The 22,515-nt window shown below is 44.5% G+C and overlaps 1 protein-coding gene across 32 annotated transcripts in view, besides 2 other annotated features; it reads left to right on the plus strand.

Moving 5' to 3' along the window:
* The window catches only part of KALRN (kalirin RhoGEF kinase), a 692,957-nt gene that overhangs the window by 231,343 nt on the left and 439,099 nt on the right, over positions 1 to 22,515 (plus strand). For all 32 annotated transcript variants that reach the window (XM_006713810.4, XM_017007429.2, XM_011513279.3 and 29 more), the window contains exon 5: positions 4,032 to 4,544. In XM_006713810.4, the coding sequence (XP_006713873.1) occupies positions 4,032 to 4,544 (513 nt within the window). The remainder of the gene's footprint in view (positions 1 to 4,031; positions 4,545 to 22,515) is intronic.
* Positions 1,728 to 2,251: an enhancer, noted in NCBI's record as "NANOG hESC enhancer chr3:123985286-123985809 (GRCh37/hg19 assembly coordinates)". NCBI's record gives its function as "activates a minimal SCP1, AML or CMV promoter by ChIP-STARR-seq in primed H9 embryonic stem cells {active_cell/tissue: H9 hESC(primed)}" and the evidence as "EXISTENCE:reporter gene assay evidence [ECO:0000049][PMID:30033119]".
* Positions 4,563 to 5,333: an enhancer, noted in NCBI's record as "NANOG-H3K4me1 hESC enhancer chr3:123988121-123988891 (GRCh37/hg19 assembly coordinates)". NCBI's record gives its function as "activates a minimal SCP1, AML or CMV promoter by ChIP-STARR-seq in naive H9 embryonic stem cells {active_cell/tissue: H9 hESC(naive)}" and the evidence as "EXISTENCE:reporter gene assay evidence [ECO:0000049][PMID:30033119]".

Below are 22,515 nucleotides of genomic sequence, written 5' to 3' on the forward strand. Positions count from 1 at the left end.
TAGCATCTTCTTTCCCTTCCCCTTCTGCCATCCACACATTTCTCACGTCCTCTTCTCTATCTACCATACAGTATGTGACACCTCAAGGGCTGAGATTTCAGGATTCCTTGGCCGCCATGGCCTTACCAGTTAGAGTATGGGGAGGAACAAGAGGCTCACGAGATTGTCCCAAATGCACACCTTCATTAGACAGTCTTATTTACTGTTGGTGGTTGTGTTAACTGGGACAACTGTTTGTGGAGGCAGCTTTGCAATTTGTAACAAAAACCTTAGGAAGAGTTTATATCCATTGATGTAGCAATTCTTTTTTTATTGCTGTATCATAGTTGTACATATTTTTGGGTACATGTGACATTTTGATGCCTGTATACAGTATATAACGATCAAATCAGAGTAAATGGGATATCCATCACCTCAAACATTTATCATTTCTTTGTGCTAGAAACATTACAGTTCTCTTCTAGCTTTTGAAATATACCATAAATGATTGTTAACTATAATTCCTCTACTGTGCTATTGAATACTAGAACTTATTCCTTCTATTTGACTGTATTTCTGTATCTAGTAACTAATTTAAGAAAATATTCTTTTTTTTTTTTTTGAGATAGAGTCTCACTCTGTTACCCAGGCTGGAGTGCAGTGATGATCTCGGCTCACTGCAACCTCTGCCTCCTGGGTTCAAGTGATTCTCCTGCCTCAGCCTCCTGAGCAGCTGGGACTACAGGCACCTGCCACCATGCCTAGCTAATTTTTGTGTTTTTAGTAGAGATAGGGTTTCATCATGTTGGCCTGGCTGGTCTCAAACTCCTTACCTCAGGTCATCTGCCCACCTCAGCCTCCCAAAATGCTGGGATTACAGGCATGAGCCACTGTGCCCAGCCTAATTTAAGAAAATATTCTTAATATGAAATCTCAACAAACAAGAAGGTAAAAAGCCAGGTAAAATTGCAAACAAGAAATGTCTACAAGAATGTTCATCACAGCTCACATGTTCCTATACAATAGTATATATACACATGTGCATAAATATTTATACATATATAGTGCATATACATACACATATATAGGTTGTATCCTTGCTAGCCATGACTGTTGGTGACATTAATCCACAAATACTGGCTGGGCGTGGTGATTCACGCCTGTACTGTAATCCCAACACTTTGGGAGGCTGAGGAGGGTGGATCACTTGAGGTCAGGAGTTCAAGACCAGCCTGGCCAACATGGTGAAACCCTGTCTCTACTAAAAATACAAAATTAGCCGGGCGTGGTGGCGTGTGCCTGTAATCCAAGCTACTCAAGAGGCTGAGGCAGGAGAATCACTTGAACCCGGGAGGCGGAGGTTGCAGTGAGCTGAGATCGTACTATTGCATTCCAGCCTGGGTGACAGAGCGAAACTCCTCAAAAAACAAAACAAAATAAACAAACAAACAAAAAAACAAAACAAGCAACCCAAATACGATGAAGCCAGGAAAAGCCATATTTAGAAAAAATAGTATTAAAATATTTATTGTTTAGTAAAATGCAGGTGATAAAACAATATGGACACTATAATCTGAGATTTGTTTTTAAAGTGCATGTATGGAGAAGAAAACTGAGATTGAAGATGTTAGTGATGGTTTATTCTACGTGACTGGATAGTGGATGGTTTTTATTTACTTCATATGTTTTTATTTTTTTCAAGGATGATGTATTACTTTCATAATCAAGGAAAACATGTTTTTAAACTAAATTTTCTGGAGGGTATATGTTTCCCCTGAGAATTTTCAATGACAATACATCAGATTAAATCAATGATTTAAGCGTCTGTATTCCAGCCAAATATAAACTGTTCCCTTCCTCAGAATTCTAGTCCTCATCTGCAAGGGGATGAACTTTTAAATGTGTGTGTGTTGAAAACACAGAGCTGCTTTTAATCTTTCAGCAGCTTCCCATTCCAGACTTTTGTGCCCTGGGGGCCAGGAGCGCCTGTGTGTGGTGTCAAATAGGCTGTGATTTGAGCACAATGACCTGACACTTGATGCAGGCGATTCTCACTCTGTGTAAACAATACAAGAAATTTGGCTTGGTATAAAAACAGTGACCTATTATAGTCTCCTGGCACCCCTCCAGAACACTAGAAGTCCTGCAGGGAAATGCTTTCTATATTTTGGCTTGTTTATACAGAGGTGGTGACAACAAGCCTATAGATGTATAAGCTGAAGAGACTGAAAAGCATCTTTTCAGTAAGTCTTGATACTTCTGCTTCAGCATTGCTGGCCTGCATGTCCCATCTCTCTGTACCTCTTTCACTCTAAGTTGAACAAGCTTGTCTCTGCCTCCTAAATAAGAGGATAGGAGAGATAGCTGGGGGCCTCCCAATCAAAGGAATATTTATAAGGCAGTATCTTAAAAACAGTGAATTTAATACTTAGTGCAGACTGGGGTGACAAGTGATACAGAGATGAGAGTATAAGCTTGTTCAACAACAGATACTTATACAACAGATATATAATAATTGGTAAGTATAATGATGGAGGACTTCCCGGAAGTGGTAAACTTTGAGCCAAATTTGAAGGAGAAAGTACTTTGGAATAGGGTTTCTCAAGTTTAATGCACACAAATCTCCTGGGGATTTTGAAAATGCAGATTCTGCCTCAATAGGTCTGGGGTAAGGCCTAAGATTCTGCATTTCTAACAAGCTCCCATGTGATGCCAATACTGCTGGTCTGAGAGCTATGCTTTGAGTAGCAAGGATGGAGATTAGCAGGAGTTTGCAACTCTACTTGCACATTAGAATCATCTGAGGGACTCTTAAACCTACTGATGTCCAAGCTCCCATTTAGCCAATTAAATCAGAATTTCTAGGGATGAGGTTTGAGCATTGGTATTTTTGCACACTCCCCAAAGGATTCTAATGAGCAGTCAAGTTTGACAACCATTGTTCCAGACCAGTCCTCCTGCCTATGGCACCTCCTTCCTTCCTCTTAGGAGAGGGGTGGAAAGAGAAGGAACAAAGAGGGGATGCTCAGAGAGTGGCAAGACACAGAGAGATAAATTGCTTTTCAGGTTTTGAGTAATGATGCAGCCTTCAGATCATCAGAGTGAGCACTAACAGGGATTGAGCATGTACTCCATGCTATGCACCCTATGTGCTTTACACACATTGATACATTTAATCTCTGCAAGCCCCATGAGGAAGGAATAATTATCTCCATTACACAGAGGAGGAGACTGAGGCTCTGAGACCTTAATAGCTTGCCCTGGGTCACACAGTTAATAAGCATAGGGCTGGGACCCAAACACAGATATTAATTTGCTAGCCTCTCATTCTTCATGAGAAAGAAGAGAAGCCTAAAGCCCTATAGGAAGGAAAAGATGTTTACTAATAAACTAAGGTGGTTGCCTGCATCATCATTTGCTGGAGACACTTTCCTTCCTGGAGACAAACATTCTCCAGTCCGCTCTCCAGGAGCTTGTAGGGGCCTCACAGAGAAAACCAAGGGCGCAGACTCCCCTGTTGCCCATCCCTAGTTCTGTTCACCATACCACAGAAGAGCTAAAAGGGAGAGCCTTGGAAAAGATAAGACTGTGAAATCTTTGCAGCCCAAGCACTGGCCCATGTTGCTTAATCCAACTATGATGATACCCTGGGTCCACGGGCCTTGGTTTTAAAGCTGTGGAAAACTGTCCCCCAGAAACTAGGTCAGTTTTTCTTCCAGCTTCTGCTTCTAGCCTCTGAAGCCCTTTTGAAGTGAACTGGGGTCAGGAGGAGGGAAAATGAGGAGAGGAGGGACACAAAAGCAGTTCTTCTGGGGTGGTAAATGGCTGGCAGTTGTAGAGGCTTGCTAAAGCAGTCAGCAGTCTGTAGAAACTGCTGATCCTGACTGATCTGTGACTCCTGACCAGTGAGTCCCATGGCCTCCACTCACCATTTCCGAGGCAGGCTGTGGTCATTATTATGTGGATTTATCTTGTCCTTTCCCTCATCCTATTTCTGCCCTGTTCTTCCCCTGACATCACTGAGTATCCTTGTCTGTGTCTGCCCCTTCCAGACGAGCATGGTATCTGTGGAGGGCCTCACAAAGCTGGTGGACCCCTCCCAGCTGACGGAGGAGTTTGATGGCTCCCTGGACTACAACCATGAGGAGTGGATCGAACTGCGGCTCTCCCTGGAGGAGTTCTTCAACAGCGCCGTGCACCTGCTCTCGCGCCTCGAGGACCTCCAGGAGATGCTAGCCCGGAAGGAGTTTCCTGTGGATGTGGAGGGCTCTCGGCGGCTCATTGACGAACACACACAGCTCAAGAAAAAGGTGCTGAAGGCCCCTGTGGAGGAGCTGGACCGGGAGGGGCAGCGGCTGCTGCAGTGCATCCGCTGCAGCGACGGCTTCTCAGGACGCAACTGCATCCCGGGCAGTGCTGACTTCCAGAGCCTGGTGCCCAAGATCACCAGTCTCCTGGACAAGCTGCACTCCACCCGGCAGCACCTGCACCAGATGTGGCATGTGCGCAAGCTCAAGCTGGACCAGTGCTTTCAGCTGCGGCTCTTCGAGCAGGATGCTGAGAAGGTAGGAAGGGAACAGGCCAAACCTGAGCCGGGATGGGGGTGAGGGAGCAGAGGTTGCTCATCCAACTTTCTGATTAATGATAGTACTTTCCTGGAAAGCTTTAAAACAGTGTGCCTACTAGTTTTAGCTAATGTAATTTTTTTAAGCTCACCCTTATATAGTGTGTATTATGTGCCCAGTATTGTTCTAAGCACTGTGTGTAAATTTACTCATTTTAATCCTTTCAAGAGTCCTGAGAGGTAGATGTACTATTATAATCACATTTTACAGATGAAGAAACTGAAAGGTTAAAGAATTCACCAAGCTGGGAAGTGCAGTCTGGCTCCAGGGTCCCTGCTTTTACCTACTGTTAGAAGCTGCCCCGAGTGCCTGCAATGAGTGGCTCAAGCCAGCTAAGGAACAAAAACAGTACTGTTAACAGCCACTATAATATTAATTAGTGATTATGGCCCTGCAATGTATTTTACCATTGACAAACCACTTTCACACAGTCTTATTTAATCTGCATAATCCTTTGATCCTTATGGGTTGAGTGGTGGCATCTCTCTTGACATGCAGGGAAACGGATGTTCTTTGATCTTGGGTCTACAGTGACAGAGCTGACATCTGAATCCAGCATTTTTCTGTTTCTAAGTCCAGGGCTCTTCCTGCCATACCCACTTGTTTCCAAAGGTTTCTCTTCAGCTGCTAAGCACTTTCTTGAGTAAGACACCATTTTTTCCAGCAGTGAATTTTCAAAGCTTTCCCCTTATCAGGGAAAAGTAAGATAAGAGAATGTAAAAAAGGAAAATTGCATATAGTGCCTCTTTGCTGAGGATACAAAGGTATCTTTCCTAGATTCTCTTTAAGCTAAAGAGAAGAAAGAAGAGTTTACTATTATATGTGCTTTAAGAAGAATAAAATAGGCTCTCTTCCTATGAGTTTTCTGGATATAACTTATATTTAAATGGCCAATACTGTTCTTAGGGATGCCATGACATCTCTCAGTAACCTGTGAATTTTACAATGTCTGATATCATGGTTTTCTGTCTTTTAAGAGCTCATATTGAAAAATGTCTCTAGGTATTTTTAAATGATGAAATCGAGATCTTCAGCTCTCTGTATAAGTGTGATCCCAATTTATGTATTAAATATAACTGCAAGAAAATTTATCAGAATATTAATAGTTTTGCTTCCTTGGGGCAGGCTTATGGTTGATTTTAATTTCTCTGTATAATTTTATAATGTTTTCTAATTTTTTATAACATATAGTAAAAAAATTAGTATATGCAGTTTTTTTAATGCATATCACTTTTTATAGCATATCACTTTTTATATACCTTTTGAATATGATTTAAGCAAGGTTTGGGAACTTCTGACCTTTCTTGGGGCTCTTTGCCCAGTGGCCTGGAAGCCTGGGTCTGACCCTGGCCTGACCTGCCCTGAGAAGGGCAGCTTAGACCTCAGAATTCCTGCATTGCTCACCGAGTGATTAGATGCCAAGGCAGGAGCCAGCTGTTCTGTGAAGCCAGAATCAGGTACTTTGGCTCTGTTGCCAGTTTTGTTTTCTTTGTTTATTTTTTTGTTTTGTTTTTTTTTTTTTTTTTTTTTTTGAGACGGAGTCTCGCTCTGTCGCCCATGCTGAAGTGCAGTGGCACCATCTCAGCTCACTGCAAGCTCCACCTCCCGGGTTCACGCCATTCTCCTGCCTCAGCCTCCTGAGTAGCTGGGATTACAGGTGCCTGCCACCATGCCTGGCTAATTTTTTGTATTTTTTTAGTAGAGACGGGGTTTCACCGTGTTAGCCAGGATGGTCTCGATCTCCTGACCTCGTGATCCACTCACCTTGGCCTCCCAAAGTGCTGAGATTACAGGCGTGAGCCACCGTGCCCGGCCCTGTTGCCAGTTTTGGAAAGATCTGGAACATCTCTTTTTTCTTGAGGCCTGTTTTGCTCTGGGGCAGGGAATCTGCTTTGCAGCCTGGCCTGGGTGCCTGTTTCAGTGAGCAAGGGACAGAAAGGGAGGTGGGAGACTTAGGTCTGCCTAGGTATGTTTTAGAGTTTGGGGCACTTCATGGTATCCCTCAGGCTCAAGGACATGGGAAGCCTGCATAGGGCACAGATAGTGCCTGTCTGAAAAACCAAGTAAACGGCATACCATAGCTCCAGAAGTTCCCAGGTCAAGGAGGCTGCCTTTCTAGGGCCTGCCAAGTTCCATTCAACAGGGCAGTAATTGCTGTTACACCTATATGCTCTCAATCCATGTTCATAAGAATTGTATAGTACATTGATAATTACTACTTTACAGTTGAAGAAATGGAAACTCAGAGAGGTGAAGTGGCTGGCCCAAGGTCATACTGTTGGTTAGCCAGGGCCAGTGTTTTAATCTGTCTCCAAAGCCCATCCAAGCTCTTATCCAATAACCCTGCTGTCCCTCTGCTCCCAGAGCTTGCCTTCTGCTACCACTGAACACCACCTGTTAGCCCCTAGGTCTCCTGGCGCATGCCTTGATGGCCCTAGAGAAAAATCCCAAATCCTACATTTTAATGCTCATTCCACAGCAGGGGCTCTTTCTGTGCCATGGACTCTTTTGGTCTGGTGAAGCATATGGACCCCTTCTCAGAATAACATTTGTAAATGTACAAAAAATATACATAGGCTTGGAAAACAATTACTTAAACACGGTTATTTGCAGGAACAGAAAACCAAATACCACAGGTTCCGACTTATAAGTGGGAGGTAATCATTGGATACTCATGGACTTAAGGATGGCAACATAGCAACTGGGGACTACTGGAGGCAGTAAAGAGAGAGGGGGCTAAGGGTTGAAAAACTAACTATTGGGTACTATACCCATACCTGGGTAATAGGATTATACCCAAGTAATAAACCTGCATATGTATCCCTTGAATCTAAATTAAACGTTAAAAATAAAATAAGGAAATAGTTATTACGTTTTAAAAATAGCAGCACTATATGTATTTTTAATTAACATACTAATAAGATCTACTTGAAGTCTAATAACTACCATAATCCTGAAGTAGTGATGAATGTAAATAAATGATGTTTCAGGACAACAGCCCTGATGTGATATGAAAATGTGTGTGTTTCTATTGGAGTCAGAGACACACACTAATGCAGTTTGTTGACTGTGTTCATAATGGAAGAGAATGCTATATTTCAGTTAGAGGTTAGTGAAAATAAAGACGTGATTTTTTTCCCTATCCAAATATATGATCCCTGAATTCTATCCATGAACCCAAGGTTTAGAATGTCTGTTGTGTGATGTGCTCATACCTTAAAAAGGAGTGTGGGGGAGTGGGCGAATGTGCACGTGTGTATGTTCATGCATGTGCATGTGAGTAGAGGGGTGGGGAGAGAGGGAGAGAATATTCAAAACAAGGGAGCAAAAAGAAGGGTGGGACGAGGGCAGCCCAGGAATATTTTGAGGTTGAGTCAGTGGTGAAAATGCCACTCAAGCTTGACCCAGCTGCCACTGAAAATGTGCTGAGTGCTGGACAGGGTAGAAAAACAGTCCTTTTAAGTTGCTTTAAGATTAATTTAAAATATCTGCGCGGAGCTAAGTGCCTCAGCCTTTGACTTATTTGGTGGCTTTGGAAGGGGGTGAAGAGGGTGATGGTTTGGAATAAGGGCTGTGAGTGTGGATCCACATCTAAACAAGGGCTTGAGGAAGTAGTTACTGCCTGAGCCAAGTCTTAGTCTCCCTTCTGGTGGGAGGCTGGTTGGCGGAGGCCTCTAATTCCAGATCTGGGAAGCTCTTGGCAATCAGAGGAGTCTGGTGATAGTTCAGCCTCTATTTTTGTAAAAGAGGTGGGCGCAGTCTCGCCCCTGGCCTTGCAGGGTGACAGCTTGTTCCCAAGGGCTTGAAAATGGGTTGGTGTTCCCCATTTACCAGCTGGCCTTGGGGAGTGAAGCTGCCTCTCACTTATTCCCCTGACACCTGTGGTGAGCCCCCACATTCCCCATCTTGGAGGTGCTGGGGAGTGGGCCGTGCTCTCTCCCAATTAAGTATCTAGGGAGTAGGGCCTCTGTTCCACAGATAATTCATAAAGCAAGTCACTCATTCATTTAATAATCAATGTTGAACAGCTGTCGTGAGCCACCAAAAGGGTGGGTAGGCCAGAAGTTCTGTCTGGAGCAGCTCACCATCTAATTAAGCAAGTGAGCACATAAGCTCCTGTGTATTCACTTTTTTTTATTTTTAAAAGCAGGTTTATTGAGGTATAATTGATAAACAATAAGTGGCACATATTTAACATATATGATCTGATAAGTTTGGACATACGTATACACCTATAAAACCATCAAGGTAATAGACATAGCCATACCTCCAAAAGTTTTTTTGTTTCCCTTTGCATAAACTCTTACTTATTAAATGCTTTCTGTGCATGCTGTACTGTCCTAGGCACAGCCTCTGTGCTTGGAGAATGTTCAGAGAAGAGGGAACACTGCTGCTCAGGAATGACAGGAAAGTCTTAATGAGCAATCTGTGGAAACACAGAGTAATTCAGAGATGATTCAAACAATGCATGATGTTAGATGAACCACTGCAGTCTCAGCCGGGCGCCCTCTGGTCTATAACTAATGGGCCTGTCCTCCACTGTATTCGCAGAACACAAGCCAGGTCACCACTCATTGGCCTGGTGCAGATTAAGGCTCTCTGTGCAGCCATGTTTCACATCTGGCCACCCCTCCAGTTGTGGTAGACCCTGTGTGATGAAGGTGTCTGCCCTGCAAACACAACCTATTACTGAAGAGAAGGGATGGGCCTCTTCCCCACTGGGGGCCATATGTGGTCTTAAAGGTCATTAAGTAGACTCATTGTAGATGTGCCTTTGGAAAATGGAAGGGTGAGTGCTACTCAGTGGAAGATCCTCCCCCGACACACCCCTTCCTGGGTGCCTAGGGCACATCTTCTAATGCTAGAACTAGAAGCAGCCGTGAAGTCCACACGTCTACCTCCCACACACCGTAGAAATCCCAGCCTTGCCATCTGATGACAGTCATTATGACCTCGTGATGTCAATGTGCTGATGCCAATGATAAGTATCAGAAAATATCGAAACTCCCATCTGCCTTCTGATGTGGGGAAGGCCCTCAGTCTTCCAGTCTTTTCAGGGAAGGAGCAGAGCTTCGAAGAGTTCCGGTGCATAACTAGACTTAACTGATTGAGAAATCTTTATCTACTTCATTTCTGAATAAAGGAAGCTCTACTGATGTCTACCCAGGAGGCCCATTTTTTAGCCTTGCCCAAAGCTATTCTGGAAAGGAGAAGATATTCGCACTTTGGGAGAATCCCCAAAAGAGTGAACAAAGCTGGCTAATGGGGCTTCCAGTATTGAAATCATGCCTATTATTGGTTTATGCAGCACATTGTATTTGTTTAATGTGTAAATGCATGGTTGGGAAACACCCAAGACAATATCCTTATCACCCTGCTTGAGAGGATATTTTGGTGCCTACCTCCCCCATGACCAAGACATCTAGCCCAAATGAGAATCTCTCATTTTTTTTTTAGGTGTTCAGCAGAGACTGTGGCCTCCGTGGCTGCCTAGCCCTGCCTTTACCACTACAGGAAAGCTCACCTTGGAAAACCTAATTTTTAAATGCCTTCCTGCATATTCATTTTTGCACGGTGAAATTCTATTCACATCCATGGGTGCCATGCTGAAATGGAGCTGTGGTGGGTGGGGTTAGGATTTGTCCTGGGGTGACACGTATCAATTGTGAGACATTAGGCACATCTTTAACTTATCACCCCCAATTGTGTTACCGACAAAACAAAGATAAAGAATTTATATTACTTCTACTTCAGCATCTTTTGACTTTTCTTCTGCTTCCACACTGCACTGTTCTCATGCACAATACTCTCTCTTCATGAAAACATCTTTCAACAGGAGAAGTGGGGTGGCCACGGTCATGGTGGTGGTAGCTTTGGAGGTGGTGATGACAGAGAATAAACTTCTGAGGAGATGTACCAGAATCTGCAGAGTGGTTTAATAAAGCCCCACCCCAACCCCAATCCATTTCTCTTCCTTCCTCTTCCTTTGAGACTTGCTCCACTAAATAAATATCTAAGCCCTTTTACAACTTAACAATTGTATAATACTTTTTGCTTTTGTGCTTTTTCATTCTCCCCTACATATTTATAGTGGGTTCTTCTCTTTTCAGGATTGTTGCCTTGGGTAATTATGAAAAATAAGAAACCTCTCAGCAAATAAAACCCTACTCCCTTGAGGTTTTGTTTGTTTGTTTGCTTAAAAAAAAGACAAACTTCTTCGCAGGGTTGTTATGAGAATTGAGTGGGGTTATGTATGTAGCAGTGCCTGGCATGGTGCCTGGCCCAGCATAGCTATTCCAGGAACATTGGCTTCCCTTCCTTCTCCCTGCACTATTTCAGTTATGATTTACTCTTCAGTCATGGGTGCCTGCTGAGACCATGAAGAGTGTCACTGATGCTCTCTTCCAAATGAACCTGCTCTAAATCATTTTCAATTATCCTTAATGGAACAAAATTCAGAATTGATTTTTGAGAGAAGTTGGAAATTATGGTGTAGATTCTTGGGGGTCCTGCAGGTCACCAGGCTATGCAGTGCCCCTGGGCAGGGCACAAAAGAGGAGCACATAGGTCACACTGGGGTCACACCTGAGGAGTCAGGGTGGGGACATCCTCCACAGGGAAAGTTCTCTGGAAAAACAAGGTCTGTCCTTGAAGCAGCCCCAGAGAAAAGTGATTCTTCCTGGTGTCCCATGAGAGGTGAGCACCTGTCCCCATGCACCCTCTACATCTGAGACACTTGTCACCTTCTGCTTTGCAGTATAGCTAAGAGCATATTTGTCTTATTCCCTTGCAAACTTGGGGCCAGAAATACTTCCTATGGCAATGTTTATGCATTTTAATATTCTTGGAAGTCTGTGCAAACAAAATAATGCTGCTTTTATGTTAATCACCATGAGAAAATCTACACTGGGCACCACTGGGCATCGTGGTAGGCAGCAGACCACTGTGCTAAGGGTGATGTGCTTATTGCGTTTTGAGGTTGGTATGTCCTGTTGGCCACATTAGCATTGCAGGACATCCCCAGGATGCCCCGTCACTGGGCAAAGTATCCACTGCTATTTCCTGTCCTCTCCCTCCAAGGTATAAACAGTTCTGGTCACTCCCTAGAGCCCAAAACAGGACCCAAAGTCTTATCCTGCCTGGGGTGACCAGAACCAGTGGGGCTGTTGTAGAGAAATCCTGCTGCTTCTACTTCCCTGGTGGACCCTGGCCCACTGTCTCTTCTCTTCCCCACACCTCCAACACCCCCATTCCCCATGAGGCAGCAGTAACATGATTCCACTGTCATTTGTCAAAGTGAAGTGCCTTTGCAGTAATTACAATATGTAATTCTTTTCGGAATGTTCAAAGTATTTTCACACCCATGACCTTAGAGATTTTCTGGCCCAGCCCTTCCTTTTACATAGTAATCTTTGACCCAGAGCAGAGACCCACCCAAAATCATCCAGTCCATGGTTCATCATCCAAGTCTCCCATGTACTGTGTGTGGTAGGCCAGGTGGGCACGTATAGGGGCATCATTTCACAGATGGGAAAGCTGAGACTTGGTGTGCTTGAGTGGTTTGCTTGGGATAGAGTCCTCTGCTTTGAAGCTGGTGCTCCTCCCTCTTCTCCCAACACACGCACGCACACATGTGCGCATGCACACACACATGTGTGCACACGTGCACACACACACTCTCTACACCCTCTCTTTGGAGGCTCCTTGCCGTGCAGGACAGATGGTGGCATGTGCCAGGAACCTAGGCGGTGGCTAAAGGGGCTGGGGGCTAGGAGGATAAGGGTCACTTGACATGTGTCCTCACCAGTGCTGTGGTGAAGGGACAAGCACTGGACAGGCCTCCAGAGGGGCGTGTCATGTCTCTGTGTGGTTCAATTGCCTGAGCCCTTCATGTTGGGAGGGAGGCTTCAAAGAGCTGTGACCTTCGGGTTGGCCAGAAGGGCAAGGCCTTTACGGGGTGGTTGTAATTTCCTGCTTTTTTTGGAGAAAGGCTCCGGTGCCCTCTTGTTCCTGCTCTCCCCTCTCCTACTGAGACCTTAACCACCAAACCCCTCCACCTCCTGTTGACGGAGCTCAGGGCAAGGAAGTGTGTCTGTATCCCGCCCCCTGACACAGAACACAGTGTCCTGTATTATTTCCAGCCTGCTGGTCCTGGGAATTTCGACTTACTTTTTCTCATTTCCTCCCCTTGAACATTAGAAACATTAGATTCCAAAAATAATCTAAGTCACCGTGTTCTACAGGCTGCATGTGTGTGTTTTCTCCCAAAGCTGTTTTTCTCCCTCTTAAATCCTTTCTCCCTCTCCTTTCTTCCCTCTCCTGCATTTTCAGCCCCATTTGTATCCTGAGATTAGCACGCCTGCAGGAGGAGTGTGGGTGTGGAGAACAGAATGGAGGAAGGATGGGGAAGAATGCTCAGGCATGAGGCTTGGCTCCCTTCCACGGTTCTCTCAAGAGAGTGGAAGGTGCCAAGACCTGAACTGCTGTGTGTAAAAAGTCTGCCTATGCAGCCCCTGCTTATGAATGGACCCCATAGAACTGTGGACCCCTTAGTGACTCTTTGGAACTGAGAACTAAGACACTGTGTTAACAGTACTTTCCAGAATCTGGGCTGTCACACTGACTCTGTCTGCAGCAGTTGAGGTGAGCTGTGAAAAGAAGGTCTGATCAGAGATGAACTATGTGTGTGTGTGTGTGTGTGTGTGTGTGTGTGGTGCAGGGCAGTAACTGAGAAAAGTTCATTGACTCATTCGTCAACAGACATTGAGTGTCTACTGTGTGACAGGCCTTCTGTTGGGGCTATGTGTCTCTACTCTTACCCTAGGCCTTGGATGGAGGATAGTGTAGGGCAGTGCAGGGAAAATCAGAGTTAGCACTAATGTAATTCTTGATACATCGTAAGGAAAAGATGGTTTAGAGAGTCACCACTCCAGTGGCTAGAACCCAGGTGAGTTAAGATATCAAGGTCTCTGTTGCTTTCTGGGTGGGGTAGGGCTGGTGGAGGTGGGGTGAGTGTCTTAGTATGTATGGGAGAAAAAGCATGGAGGTGGTCCAAGCAAAAAGGAGACATGTCAGCTCTGCCCCAGTAGGGGAAACAGGGGAAAGGTTTTGGTACCCTGTTTGAAGAATGAAGGACACTTCAGGTGTGTGTGTGTGTGTGTGTGTGTGTGTGTGGTGCAGGGCAGTAACTGAGAAAAGTTCATTGACTCATTCATCAACAGACATTGAGTGTCTACTGTGTGACAGGCCTTCTGCTGGGACTATGTGTCTCTACTCTTACCCTAGGCCTTGGATGGAGGAGAGTGTAGGGCAGTGCAGGGAAAATCAGAGTTTATAAAGTAAAACCAATTTTACTTTATAATTTGTTTTATAAATTATAAAGTAATTTGGGAATGCCCCATCACTGGGCAAAGTATCCACTTCTATTTCCTGTCCTCTCCTTCCAAGGTATAAACAGTTCTGGTCACTCCCTAGAGCCCAAAACAGGACCCAAAGTCTTATCCTGCCTGGGGTGATGAATTTGTCAGACTTTATAAAACAAAGTCTCTGTTTGGGGTAGGAAGCTTTCCCAAGGTTTCTTTCTAGGCATTTTGCTTTGAGGAACCTGCTTTCCTTCCTTTTTTCTACCTTCTACCATTTTCCCTGTTCCTCTTCTACTCCCTTTCCCACTTGTGACCTTCTTGGTCCCTGTCCTGGCATCTCCTCAGGCCTGTCCTTACCTTTTGTGCACCTGTTCTCTCTGAACTTGTTGAATGGCCTTCCTTTTCCATTCCTGCTTCCTTCCTTGGTCAGAGTTAAGGAAGAGCCCCATGCACAGTTCAGGCCTCCTGTGGGGGACAGAGAGAGCACTGGCTTTGAAACTGGAGAAACCTGGGTTTGAATCCCTGCTGGGCCACTTGTAGCTGAGTGACTGTGTTCAGTTCACCCCCTCTGAACACTGATTTCTTTATCTGTAAAATATAGATTTTAATACCTGCCTTAGGATTATTGTATGAGTTAAAGAAAATGTACATAAATCTACCAGTATGGCTGGAGCCTTGAAGACATTCAGCACATGGAACAAATGGTAGATTTGTAGAGATAGACTTGTGCTGGCCCATGTAAATGAGTGGAATCAGCAGTGGATAGATGCCTGGGGAGGCTCTCTTGAGGGGCATGCATGGGGAATACAGCCCCATCCACAACAAAGATGCCAGAGTGGAAAGTAGGCAGCCTGTGGCAGCAGAGCATGGAGGTGAGGAACCTGGTGGCTGGAGAAACCAAGAAGGGATCTTGAGGAGGACCTCATCAGTGGGTATTAGACACAAGGTCAGCTGCTAGCAGGGAGAAAAGGAAATGGAAGCTGTAACCAGTCTGGCAGGATCTTAGAGAACACTTGCTGAAGATAAGCCAATCACTGTGCCGAGTACTGTGCCAGGGATGGGCAATTGGAAGATGAGCTACATTCAGGCCTGGCCATGTTGGAGCAGAGGGCACCAGCAAACAAATAGCCATTGCACAGGTAAGTTCACAACGGTGTCTATTAGTGCTATGGGAGCATAGATGGAGAAATGTTTAGCCAGGGTTTGGGATGCAGGGAGATGGAAGAGTGTGAGCAAAGGCACAGCAGCCTCAAAATGCAGGCTGGATCCTGGGAATGTCTGCAGTTGGGTGTGGCTGGAGCACAGGCTCTACAGAGAGGAGTGCAGGAGGTCTGTGTTCATGCCATGTGGGTTACCAGGAGTCAGAGCACAACAGAGAGTCAGAAGTCCATGGAATAACCAGTGGACCACGAGGAAAACTGGATTCTGGCAAATGGTTCAGGTCTTGCCAGGAGCATCTGAGAATCCTAAAGTCTTTGATTCAGGTCCAATCCCTTACCCATGGCAGAACTCCCTTCCAGATGTGCATTTTTCCAGATTCTTCTGAGCATTTCCAGGGCTGAGGAAGCCACAGCTTTGTGAGGCAGCCTGTTCCACTGTTCTGTAGCCCCAGTTGTTAGAAAGTCCTCCTTCCAGCAGGCCAGAATCTACCCTCCTGTAGTTACACCCTGCAGTCCCATCTCTGTCTCCCAGGGTCATTGGGGAACTACTCTCTTCCTTCCCCTGCAGGGCAGCTCTCCCATAACTTGGGGACAGTGCTTGGGGACCTTCCTCATGTTTTCTTCACCAGATAAAGTTCTGTGAGTTCTTTCAGCCTATTTTCGTTTGACGTGGGCTCTAAACTCTTTAATGCAGCTTTCCTGGGACCAGTTTTTCAAGTGGATGAGGGGTAATGGGAGGAGTCTGCAGCTTTTGGTCCCACTTGCACAGGTGAGAATGAGATTTTGTATGTGTAGGTGCACTAGTTTTTGTAGCCCAAGTTAGTTGATCTGAAACCCCAAGAGTTTGCCCACCCAGAGAATGATGTTCTCTCACTTGAATAGAGAGAGACACCATCTCATATATAAATACAGGAGGATGTCTTCTCACATGTGAGCACAGAGAGATTTTTCCAGTATGAAAATGTTGAGTTAAAGTGTTCTGGTGCCAAGGTCAGTAGTAGTTACTGTTTCTCAGGGAAAAGCCCAACTCAAGGGTATCTACTGTTCAACCCCATTCCTGTATCCCATGGCTCTTCCTGAGGTCATTCCCAAGGAGAGCAAAAGCCTCATACTCTTATCTTGTAAAGAGTCGGAAACCTGTGGTAAAACAACATGGCACATGTATACCTATGTATCAAACCTGCACATTGTGCACATGTACCCTAGAACTTAAAGTATAATAAAAAAAAGAAAAAAAACACGCAAAGGAATATTAATCTCTTGGAGGAAATCTGCCTCTAGCTGGAATCCCAGAAGGGTTCTTCCCCCAGTCCCCCATCCCATGGCCCCTTTGAAATCCCACTCTTGGTTTGTTCACCTCTAGTCTCTCCTTAGTAAGCTTTCTCTAGCATAAGAATGTCCTGCTATAGGAACAACTGCTGATGTGGTGAGAAGATATACTCTGTAACATATGCGTTCTGGTGGAGAGATAAAAGAGGGTTTGGTTTCCTCCATCCTCTTTAGAGATTGGGTTGACCAGCTTGTCCCAGATTTCCCTGGGGAGGTGACCTTGTCATGAGGTGGCAAGAGGGGGTACAAACATGAGGGCCCTAGAATGGAGAGTGAGACTGGACTTGGGCATTCAGCTCCCATCCCTCAGGGCATTCTCTTCTGTGCTTTGCACATTCCCACCTTTTCATGCCTTTGTTCATGCCAACACTCCTCCCATTTGGAATGCCTGCTCCACTATATGTGCCTATTAAAACCCTCCCCCAGCTGAAGGTCCAGCTCAGATGCTACTCTCTCTGTTCTGCCCTGTTGGAGGTGCTCTTTCTCCCTCTGAGCATTTCCTGCAGCCCTTATCCATCCCCCTCAAATTGTCCCTGTTCCATGCCATCTAGCATTATAGCTAGGTGCTCAAAGATCTCATTCCCCCAATTATATTGAAAATTTCTGGAGGTTAGGACCAGTGTCTTCAATTACTCTGTGTTGACCAGAGATACTTAGTGCCAAATAAATAGTTGACCGTGACACAGTCTGTACTCACTGGGCTGCTTGAGAATAGAACAAAACCTGTGAACACTGAGCTGACACAAGAGCACCACCTACTGCTGAATGGTTTCTAGGAACGCTACCTTAATGCACTCACTGTTGAAAACTGGGGTGTTAGCAAGTTTCACCTTGCAATGGAAAGAGTGATTTGGAGGCAAGAAACTGGTTCTGGTCCTTTTATACTAATCCAAGTGGGAACAGATGAGGTGGTAGTGAAAGTAGAAAGGGAAGGGACAAACCCTCGAGACACTCAAGGGAAGAAAATGAGACCAGTGACTGGCTGGATGTCAGGGGGCAAAGGCAGCACCAAGGCCTTCGTGTTAGGAGGATTGGCAGTGGGACACGAGTGGGAACAATTCCCGAAGACATTTTGGAAGAAGGATGGATAATTAAATGAAATTTTAATTTTAATTTGTTTTAAGGCACAGAAAAGTGAAAGAAGTGATTATGAAGGTTACTAAAAACATTATCATGTGTTAGCTGGTTGTTGCATTTCTGCCCTACATTTTTCTTTTTTTTTTTTTTTTGAGATGGAGTTTTGCTCTTGTTATCCAGGCTGAGTGCAATGGCACAATCTTGGCTCACCACAACCTCTGCCTCCTGGGTTCAAGTGATTCTCCTGCCTCAGCCTCCTGAGTAACTGGGATTACAGGCATGTGCCACCACACCTGGCTAATTTTGTATTTTTAGTAGAGATGGGGTTTCTCCATGTTGGTCAGGCTGGTCTTGAACTACCAACCTCAGGTGATCCACCCACCTTGGCCTCCCAAAGTGCTGGGATTACAGGCATGAGCCACCACGCCTGGCCTCTAACCTACTTTTAGGGACAATGGATGCTATCTAAACACAGGCATTTACCTTGGTCCTCTGGCAGCCTTGAGGAGTGATGGGGCTCTTCATTCAGTAAGTTCTTCCTAAGCCCTGCAGAGTATATCCTGTAGGGTCTGGAAGCTGGAAACACTGCCAAGCTTCTCCTTGTGGATGTGCCCAGCCTGGCTCCCTGCATGGCCCCTTACCTGTCTGAGCCCCATTGCAGAGGCTGCTGCTGGAAGAGGGGAGAAGGGGCAAAATGGGGTGCCTAGTCCTCCTCCTAAGCTCAAGGTCAGGCCCACCTAGCACATACCAGCATAGCTAGGTGGTGGTCTTCTCCCCAAGAGAAGGGCTCCCACAGGGAAGCCTGCCTCCTCCCAGAGAGGGGCTCCCAAAGAAAGAGCTGCCTCATCCTTAGCCTCATGTGGAGCTTTGTTCCCAGATGTGCAAGTGATTGGCACAGCCGATTTTAGGATGTGTGGGAGGACTAGATGAGAACATCCAACAGACACTCCATTTTTGCAGTAACAATAATAGTTACCATTTATTGAGTGTATCCCTTATGCCAGGAACAACCATTAGCTCATCTAAATTAACTTGCCAAGGGCCAGATCTCAGTTTATGTCTAAATTTAGCTCCGGGATAAAGTTGGGCATTATTTTCTCAGCCTGGATTAAATAGGATTTGACCTCTTCAAGTCTACATTTTGGGAAGTGAGTGAAGTACATTCCCTCACTGTGTTCCTGAAAATATTTTATCAGCATTTGTGGTTCAAATGGAAGGAATTTGGCCACTCAGAGTCAATATCCCGGGGCTGTCTGGGCTGACTCCTGGCTTGGTTAGTTCTGTTTCTCATCTGCTTGACTTGCTGGCTCCTGGATGACCATTCCTTCCCCACAGGAGGGTAATGAGTGTGTTGCCAGTGCTGCAGGGAATAAAGTGCATCCAGGCTCATAGGCTGGAAATAAAATGCAAAAACACCTTATTTAAAGTCTGAAAATATTTATATTAATGACTTGGTGAGATTTTTTATTACATCACTTAACTTGAGGAGGGCAAGTGCGAGGAGAGTGGCCTTTTAAGGCTTAGCATTGAGTGTGTGCTTCTCCAGACAGCTGCTGAACTGCAGCTCATCTGTCAAGAACAGTGTGTGATTTTAGCATGAAGTTTCGCAGTCTTAGTTTCTCTAATCAGACAGCAACTACTTGTTGTGACTGCCAGTTTATCTTGTCTGAACCCAGAGGAAGTGGAAAGAGACTAGCATACATTCTGGATCTGCTATGTATCATATGCTATACTCAGAACTTTTCATATATTATCATATTATGATCTTTATCTTCTTTGACCCAGACATTTGAATAGTTTGTGTGAAAAAGATGGGAGAGGGAACAAAATGGAGGAGAAAGCGGAGGCAGAGACCATCAGTTGGTGAGAAGTCTGCAATGTGCTAGTTGGTTTTTGTTCTATGAGATCAAGGCTGGCTTGGTCTCCCCTTTGCAATGAGATAAATGCCTGTATATCTGGGAGGGTCTCAGTCTAGACACTCACTTCGTAGTTAAAAGCAAATCTGAGCTATCACTCCCCTCCAGTGGTTCCCCAATGCATCTTTTGCCCTTTGTGATCTGGTATCTCCCTATCTCCTACTATGGCTTCTTACAATCCCTCATTTTATGCTGCTGCTTTAAACCTCCAGGCCTTTGCTTAAGCTATTTCCTCTGATTAAAATGCCCTTGCAAACTACACCTTCTTTGCCTGATGAAATCCTGTTGTCTTTCAAGTGCTGTCCAGGTGTTGCCACCCAGAAGCCATCCATGCTTTTCCCTAACCCTATCTCTGCCAAGTTGGACCAAGTGCTCCTCTACTGTCAGCCCACAGTATACGTCTCTTATAGTATTTTTCACATTTTATTAACATTAACAGAATATGGAATGTGTTTGTCCCCCTCACTAGACCGTGGCCTTGATCTTTTATCACCCGTGTCTAACCCAATGTCTGGAATACGAGTGCTCAATAAGTGAATGAACAATCACACTAAACATCATGAGGGTGTGACTCTTGGTATCAGAATGCTTTGGGCTTCAAGAAACAGAAGACAGTAAAATTTGCTTAAATATCAAGGAAATGTATTATTTCACATTTTAAGTAGTCATTCAGAGACAATGATGTGAGCTTCAAGATTGATGAATCAGTGCGAGCCCATCTTCAGGCACTCAGGATTCTTTCTATCTCACTCCTCTGCTGAGATCTCACTGTTTGGCCGAGAACTTCCTTGCAAGGCTGTTTCCCTTCATGGTTCTAAGACAGCTGCCAGTTGTAACAGAGCAACATGCTTCACTCTTCCCCAAGTGATAGGGGTAGCAGGAGAAGGAGGGAGAAACACAGACATTGACTTCTGTTTCCCAGAAGCTCTAAGCAAATCTCTCCTCAATTTCGTTGGTTCATACTCATTAAGACTTGCCCAATCCTGAACATGTAAATAAAAAGGGGAGTGAAATTAGTATGACTGGTTTGAACAAATGATCTGGGGTGAACTGGATGTTAGGGAATCAATGTTCAATATACTACTCTAGAAGGAGTAGTATATCCTTCTTATCCTTAGAGTCTATCATGTCCCATTTTCTCTCTCCTTTCCTCTGGAACTCTAAGTATGCCTGTGTTAAAACTACACTACCCAACAGGACAGTCAGTAGCCACATCTGGCTAATTAAATTTAGTGGGTATAGTATACACTATTATGGTGTGATAGATACACTGAAAGCTCCAAGACTTCACCACTATGCAATCTATCCGTGTAACAAAATTGCATTTGTATCCTTTAAATTTATACAAATAAAAAAATTAATTAAAAATAAAATTTTTGGTTTGTTTGTTTTTGAGACAGAGTTTCACTCTTGTTGCCCAGGCTGGAGTGCAGTGGCATGATCCCAGCTCACTGCAACCTCTGCCTCCCGGGTTCAAGTGATTCTCCTGCCTCAACCTCCCAAGTAGCTGGGATTACAGGTGCACGCCACCATGCCTGGCTAATTTTTGTATTTTTAGTAGAGATGGGGTTTTGCCATGTCGGCCAGGCTGGTCTTGAACTCCTGACCTCAGATGATCCACCTGCCTGGGCCTCCCAAAGTGCTGGGATTACAGGCGTGAGCCACTGCACCCTGCTTAAAAATAAAATTTTAAACTCAGTTTCTCAGTTTCACTTGCCACATTTCAAATATTCAAAAGGCACCTAGTGGCAAACCAACTGGACAGGACAGACATAGAACATGTCAGTCATCACAGAAGGTTGTATTGGACGGCACTGTACTAGATCTTTTAGTTATGTCCCACATCTCTTCTGCTGTGTCCTGTGCTTCTATTTGCTTTTCTCTCTGTGCTTCAGTGTGCTGTTTTCTTTCTTTCTTTCCTTCCTTTCTTTCTTTCTTTCTTTCTTTCTTTCTTTCTTTCTTTCTTTCTTTCTTTCTTTCCTTTCTTTCTTTCCTTTCTTTCGTCTTTCTTTCTTTCTCTTTCTTCCTTCCTTCCTTTCTCTTTTCTCTTTTTCTCTTTCTTTCTTTCTTTTCTTCTCTTCCTCTCTTTCTCTCTTGCTCTCTCTCTCTTTCTCCCTTCCTCTTCCCCTTCCCCTTCCTCTTCCCCTTTCCCTTTTTGTGCTGCAAACTCCGCCTTCTGGTTTCAAGCAATTCTCCCACCTCAGCCTCCCGAGTAGCTAGTAGCTGGAATTACAGGCGCCTGCCACCACGCCTGGCTATATTTTTGTCTTTTTAGTAGAGACAGGGTTTTGCTGTGTTGGCCAGGCTGGTCTGAAACTCCTGACCTTGTGATCTGTCTGCCTTGGTCTCCCAAAGTGCTGGGATTACAGGCATGAACCACTGCACCCTGCCCAGTGTGCTGTTTTCTATTGATTTGTTTTCAAGTTCATTCATCCTGCTTGCTGCTGCATCTATTCTGCCATTACACTCATCCAGTGAATTCTTAAGTTCAGTATTATACTCTGCAATTCTAGAATGTTCATACAATTCTTTTTATAGATTATGATTCTCCATTGGAACATTCCATTTTTTAATCCATTTTGTCCCTTCCCCCCATTTTTTTAAGATGTCAATCATAGTTATTTTGAAAGCCTTGTCTGCTAATTCATATCTGGATCATCTTCTATAGACAATTTTATTGTTTTGATTATCAGTAATTTTTCTCTGTCTCTTTATATATCTTATAATTTACATTGTATAGTGGATATTGTAGATGATACACTGTAGAGGCTCTTGATAGTTTATCTTTCCCTAAATATCTTAAAGTCTTATTCAAGAATACAATTAAATTACAAAAGATTATATTGATCTAATTGAGCCTTGGTTTAGACTTTGGTATGGTAGGTATATTTTTATCTTTTTATTAATCCTAGTGTATAGCCCTTATTCTAAACATGTGGCTCTTATTCCTATAGCTTGGTGTTTCTGGGGTCACAAATGAATGCCCAGAGAGCTCATGAAAGCCTCTCTACTCTGTTTGAATTAGAACTCCCAGCATTTCCCCAGCACTGTGTGACCTCTAAAATTT

The sequence above is a fragment of the Homo sapiens genome, chromosome 3, assembly GCF_000001405.40.
Source record: "Homo sapiens chromosome 3, GRCh38.p14 Primary Assembly".
Taxonomy (NCBI): Eukaryota; Metazoa; Chordata; class Mammalia; order Primates; family Hominidae; genus Homo; species Homo sapiens.